Consider the following 6,933-nt stretch of genomic DNA (forward strand, 5'->3'; position numbering starts at 1 on the left):
AGGTGCTACCAATTTGGCAGTATTGTCATAGAAATTAAAATCTATTTGTATCCCTAGGGTAGTACCCATTTATTTCCATGTCCATGTGTGTGCGCCTATGTGTAAGAATAAGGAATCCTCAGTAGTTATTTATTTTTTTGTTTGTTTGTTTTTGCCTGGAAGCATGTTTGAAGAGGAATGCAAGAGTGTTTCACTGACTGATAAAATATGTATCAGTCAGGTTCCAGAATTCAACTCAAATGGTTCAAATTTAAAAAAAAAAGAATGAAAGAAACAACAAAGCACTACTTTCAAAGGTGTGGACAGGTTTAAAGAAACCAATAAGAAATGCCAAGGCACCTAGAGACTAGCAACAGTGGAACACCATGGACACACTTTGGCCTTAGAGGGGAAGGGGAGGGATCAGTGTTACAAGAATCCCAGTGAGAGCTGGAATAGTAGAGGAGGTGCTGCCTGGCTTTAGAGGAATAGACACTATTAAAAGGAGGCCAAAATTAGGAATGGAGCAAGAAAGACACCCCAAATGTCTTTCCTCCCAACTCATCATCTCAAGCTGATGTCTTCTGTTGGCCAAACCGAACCAGAGCCAGTTGGCAAGAGTGCCCTTATACAGAGTTCATAGAGGTAGGTTCTAGGAGCACCCCTGGGCCCAAGAAGAGCAGAGATAGGTCTGTAGTAAGAACTAACCAGCATAGGTCTGTATGTGGATTCAGAGAGCCCAGGGACACATCTGCTTCATAAATAGTCATGGAATCTTAGAAGTGGACCACCACTTAGAGATGATCTACTCTAACATTTCATTTTCCAGATGAGGAATTGGGTTCCAAAGAGGATAAGTGTCTACGTGTGTGCATGGGCACACTTGTCTGGGTGGGACATGACATTCTGTCATCATCCAGAGGTCCAAGAAGGGTGGGTAGTATGGCTATTATTCACTTTAAAACCCTGCGGCTCTGAACTTGAAAAACCTCTTTGTATCTATAGCAGATTCTTGTTGGTTATCTTACCAGTATCCATTTTGCCTTTCTTTTCCCCAGAGGCCTCCAATTTTATTTGGGAATTCAAGTGGTTCAGGGAAGCTGCTTTTGCTGTTGGCTCAGTGGGGAGCTCAGTCAGATAGCATATCCAGTCTCCAATAATGATGACCTCTGGGTGGCTTCAGCTAGTCATGTCCCAGTGAACTTCATGACTTTCGTTGTGAATGCTGGAGCAAAGAAGCTCCTACATTCCTTCTCCATGTGAACGAGGAAGCTCGTGACCTTGGGGGCTGCTGGCAGCTATCTGAAGAACAGTAGGGGAACCAGTGTTAAGATGAAGTTGAAGTTAGAACAGAGATAAAGGAAGAGAAAAAATTCTAAGTGGAACTATTGAAGCCAGCATACCTTTCATCTTTTAAAATTAGGTGAGCTAATAAGCCCCTTTTAAAGTTTAAGCTATTTGAGTCAGATGTTTTTTCTTTTTTACACGCCGTCGAAAGAGACAGCAGGTAGGTGCATTGCCTCTCTGGCACGCACTCTTCTGAACTTGAATGAATCACCCAGCCTTTTAGATTCCTTTCACAGATGCAGGTGTAGTAAAAAAATAATTAAAATGTATTAAAAAAGTTAATTCTTTTTCTGTACCTCATTTTCCCCTTCTAGAGAACACAAGGGCCATTATCACAGCTGCCAGGACCTGCTCATTATTACGCTGGGCTGCATGGATGGTTGTTCTCAAGAGAACAGAACCAGAAGGCAATAGAGGGAGAGATTCTGTATTTAAATTTCACTAGTGGCTTTACTTTGCCATGCTTTCTGTCTTTAAGGAAACAGGCACTCTCCCCTAGTACTGTCTCTTGGAGGTTGGGGACCCTCTAAGGAAGGATTGGGGGTATTGAAGAGAAGTCTATGAGGAGAGGTTTGTAAAGTGTGGGTGCAGATGTGTTAGGAGAGGTAGAAATCTTTCAGGGATTTCTCTCTATTTTATAGAAATATAAACTGAGGCTTAACGCTGGGAACCTGTTCCTTGTCAACCAGGCAATCCGGTGGCATTACAGAGAGTTGAACTCCAGAGCGCTTGCTCCCAAACCAGGCCCCACCCTCCAGATGGCCGGTTTGCCTCCTCCTCAGGCCTGTGAATTGCTTCCCCTGGAACCAGACCAGATGTTCTGGAGAAAGCACCAGGTCAGCATTCTCCGCGGAAGGCGCCGGTCTCCGGAGATGCCATTTGCTGAACTTACTATGCTGGGCTGACTTGAGGCCCAGGTGTTGTCCGAAGTCAGGTGACAGGCTTTGAGAGCCTCTTGGAGCTTCCTTTGGGGGAACATGGAAGGACATGTGACATGAGTCTCCTAAAAGTTGAAGAGGGGACTGAGGGCTGAGGGCTAAGGGCTGAGGTGTGCAGTTAGCAGCAGCCTGTGAATGTCTGAGTTGCTGAGAAATTCACAGAGTAGAGTGGCATCCCTTCCTTTTGTCTTTAGCTTCTGAAGTTCCATTAAAGTCCTGGGCTGGGCCATGGGGGCTGGGCCTCTTCCCCCAGGAAGATCTTCTCTATTTCACTGCAGGATTGAAAAGAGCAGGGATGACAGAGCCCAAGTAGAGGCCAGGGGGCCTGGAAGGAAGGGGGCACATGAAAGAGGAGAAAAAGAGTGGGAGGGGACATAGGAAAAGATTTAGGATGTTGTGTCAAGAGGCTTATAAAGTTTGAAAGCTGGAAGAGATTTTTAGAGCTATCTCTCACATTCCTCATTTCACAGGAGAGGAGCTGTCAGATTCTCAGAGAGAGAAAAGTACTAGCCTAAGGGTTCATCGTAAACTATTGGTGGAGGTGAGACTGGAATCCAGGTCTTTTCACTTCCAGACTGAACTTATTCATTATCTATTGCGGTGCAAGCAATTAACCCCAAAATTAGTGGTTTTAAAACTATAAACACATATTATTTCACAGTTTCTATGGGATAGAAAAATGAGTGTGTCTTAGCTGGGTCCTCACAAACTCTCAGGATGCTGCACTCAAGGTGTTAGGAGGGGCTGTGTGCTCATTTGAAGGCCTAATTGGGAGAGGGTCTGCTTCAAAGTCCACTCAACCAGCTCACTTGTTGTCAGAATGCTGTTCCTTGCAGGCTGTTGGAATGGGTTTTCTGTTCTCCATTGGCTGTTGGCCAGAGGCCTCTCTAAGTCCCCTGCCATGCATCACTCTCCATGTGGCCCCTCACATTGTGGCAGCTGGCTTCCATCAGTTTGATAAGTCAGGGTGCAAAAGAGAGTGAGCAAGATTGAAGCCAGTCTTTTTCTAACCTCACCTTGGAAATGACATATCATCACTTTTGCTGTATCTCATTCACTGAAGTAAGCCACTCTCTATAGCCCACACTCCTGAACAGTAGAGGCAGGAGCCATCTTCTTAGAAGCTGCCACCATACCAAATACTTCCTGCTAATATTTGCTGCCTCTCTGAGCCATATAGCAGAGAGGGCTGGGAAGGCAGCCCTAAGAAGTGTGTGTTTTGTTCTACAGCTATTCGGCCCCACCTTTCCTTTGGAGAAAACACTCTTCCCACAAGGAAGGGGAAGCAAGAATTAGTGGCAGCAAGGACAATTTAAGCCCTTGAAAGAAGCAATCATCACATTGATTAATAAATACTTAAAATTTCTTTTTTTCATTGCTGGTCAATTGTTTGGTGATAAGATAGAGTAAGCAAGGAATTCAATTTAGAAACTAGAGAAAGCTGGAGTCTGAATTTCAACCAAAACAAGTCACTTACCCTCATGAAACCTCAATCCGCTGATCTACTCACCAGGATGACAGTGTCAACTTTGTAGGATTAATTGAATAACATTAACGTCTTTTAAAGTTAGCTCTTTCATATTGAGTGACTTAGTTAATAAAAACAGGCCTACTGGGATGTCAAATGAGGACTTCCCCTCTTGCACTCATCCTAAACTTGAAAAGAGTGGATATGGTAGCCAATAGGATAAGGCAGGAAACAGAAATAAGTGGCAGAACTATGGGGAAGAGCAGCCAAAATTCTGAGTATTTTCTGATTGTATGATGGTGTATTGGTTTGCTAGGGCTATCATAACAAAATACCACATAATGGGTGGCTTAAGCAACAACTGGGTTTCTTACAGTTCTGGAGGCTGGAAGTCCAAGATCAAGGAGACAGCAGGTTGAGTTTGTTCTGAGGTTTTTCTTGTTGGCTTGCAGATGTCCACCTCTTGTTGCCTCTGCATATGATTGTCCCCATGTGCCCAAATTTCCTCTTCTTATAACAGCATCAGTCAGATTGGATTAAGGCCAACTCTAACAGCCTCGTTTGAATTTAATCCCCTCTTTCAAGGTCCTAACTCTAAATACAGTCACATTCTGAAGTACTGGGGGTTACAGCTCCAACATATACCTTTTAGAGAACACAATTCAACCATAACAGATGGCATACCGAAAAAAAATGGAGAGAATGAGCTGAAAATGCAGGAGAACTAATAAGAGATTATTAAGGTAGCCAGATACAAAATAAATATTTAAAAAGGCTTAGTGCTTTATTGCATATCAGTAATGGCCTACTGAAAAATACAATGGAAACAATGCCATTCACAATAACCACCGATGCTTGGTCTGCAGGAGTGTTTCCACACAGGGCAGAGAGAGAGAGAGGGTGTCTTGTGACTTGGGGCTTTACTTGGTCATCTGGGCACAGAAAGAGCACAGCTTGCAGCCAGAGTTGCATGAAAGATAGAATGAAAATATTTCAAGCCTCTCATCCTCAAACTTCTAACCACAAGGGCCCCAACTCCCAGCATGCTGCTGTTGAGTGAGACATAAGTGACCTGCCATCCCTCTGGGTCTTCGTTCCTTTCTCAGCTAGGGCACATGTCCTTATAAACCTCCTAGTCCAGTCTGCCCTGCTCCAACTCAGGGACATGTTAACACAGGGAATATTAATCCCCCAAAATAACCTTTTCTTCTGGAAACCACATCTTGAGCATGGAAGAAAGTCCTTTTATATCATCAAAAGCCTCATTTGGGAAATTTCCGCAGAACAAAGAGACTCTCTATGCTAAAAGACTGGTGGTGTTCCCATTTATTGCCAGATAAAAATTGCTTGCAGCTTGAAGAAATTAAAAAAGTTAATTATAGAAGTAATGTGTAATAAAACTCAAACAATACAGACAGATCAAAAGTCTTCTTTGTTCACCACTTAATTTCACTCTTCTCCCCCAGAAATGATCACTGTCAACAGCTTGGTGCAAACATAAAAAAAGTACAAAATTGTGTGTGTGTATGTTCGTTTGTAAATATATGTACACACATACACATATAGATATACACACCACATAGACACACACTCATTCACTTTATTTTTAAACATAAAAAGTTTTATCCTCTTAAATTTAAGCAAGATCATACTATATGTATTGTTTTGCTTCTTACATTTTTTTGCTTACCTAGTAATATGACTTAGAAGTCTATCCATATCAGAGCATATGTATATGTGTGTGTGTATGCGTACACACACACATACACATATCTACTTTTAAACTGCTATAGAATGTATCATGGTACAGATGTAATTTAATTGATTTGACTAGTCCCTTAGGGTGTACTTCAGTGGAGAAGTCCATATTAGACTTTGCAGCAGGCATATTTTTATTAGTTAAATAACTATGTTAAGAGTCTTGTTAACATTAAATCCTGCCATGACTATTATGGAACACTTTTTGTGCAGAGATGTAACAATTTCTCTAGAATAGATGCTGTCTTAGCCAGGTGTGGTGACGGGCGCCTGTAATCCCATCTACTCGAGGGGGTGAGGCACGAGAATCACTTGAACCCAGGTGGTGGAGGTTGCAGTAAGCTGAGATTGTGCCACTGCCTTCCAGTCTGGATGACAAAGTGAGACTCTGTCTCAAAAAATAAATGAATAAATAAACAAAACAAAACAAAAGCAAACAAGCAAAACATTGGGCTTAGAACAAATATTACTATAAAAAAAATCTGACATTGGGCAATATATAAATAACAGAAATTTATTTCTCACAGTTCTGGAGACTGTGAAGTCCAAGATCAAGGCCCCAGAAGATTTGGTGTTTAGTAGATCCAGTCTCTGCTTCCAAAATGGTGTCTTGAATGCTGTGTCCTCTGGATGAGATGAACACTGAGTCATCATATGGGAGAAGGTAGAAGGGCAAAAAGGGACCTATCTAGTTCCCTCCAGCCCTTTTATAAGGCACTAATTGTATCCATAAGGGTGGATTCCTAATGGCCTAATCACCTCCTGAAAGGCTTGCCTCTTAATACTGTTGCATTGGGGATTGAGTTCCAACATGAATTTTGGAGGAGCCACAAATGTTCAAACCATAGCAGATGCCTAGAGGTGAAATTTCTGAGCCCGATGTTTTGCTTGTTTGCTTTTTTTGTTTGTTTTTTTTTTGAGACAGAGTCTCACTCTGTCATCCAGGCTGGAGGGCAGTGGCACGATCTCTGCTCACTGCAACCTCCACTTCTTGGGTTCAAGTGATTCTCATGCCTCAGCCTCTGGAGTAGCTGGGATTACAGGCACCCATCACCACACCTGGCTAATTTTTTTTGTATTTTTAGAAGATACAGGGTTTTATCCTGTTGGCCAGGCTGATTTTGAATTCCTGACCTCAAGTGACCGAGCCACCTTGGCCTCCCAAAGTGTTAGGATTACAGGCGTGAGCCACCACACCCAGCCTCGTTTGTATTTTTAATAGATCTGCTCTTGAACTTTTTTTAAATTTTTTTTTTATTTCAACTTCTACACACCAAGGTTTCAAAAATCTTAGAGCTGAAATTTCTTCCTGGACACCCCAGACATAGCCCCAGGGTTCCTCTCTCACAGTTTATGGGACTTGGTGGCTGCCTCATTTAGTTTGCCACATTTTTCTTGCTCAGACCAGACATTAGAACCATGATCTACCTTGTCACTCATGTT

The 6,933-nt window shown here is 42.5% G+C and overlaps 1 annotated feature.

The window, feature by feature from the left end:
* Positions 1,081–2,280: an enhancer, noted in NCBI's record as "BRD4-independent group 4 enhancer chr2:217706511-217707710 (GRCh37/hg19 assembly coordinates)". NCBI's record gives its function as "activates an origin of replication core promoter dependent on BRD2, P300/CBP, MED14 and CDK7 cofactors, and independent of BRD4, by STARR-seq in HCT116 cells {active_cell/tissue: HCT116}" and the evidence as "EXISTENCE:reporter gene assay evidence [ECO:0000049][PMID:35650434]".

This window comes from Homo sapiens, chromosome 2 (assembly GCF_000001405.40).
Source record: "Homo sapiens chromosome 2, GRCh38.p14 Primary Assembly".
In the NCBI taxonomy this organism is placed as follows: domain Eukaryota; kingdom Metazoa; phylum Chordata; class Mammalia; order Primates; family Hominidae; genus Homo; species Homo sapiens.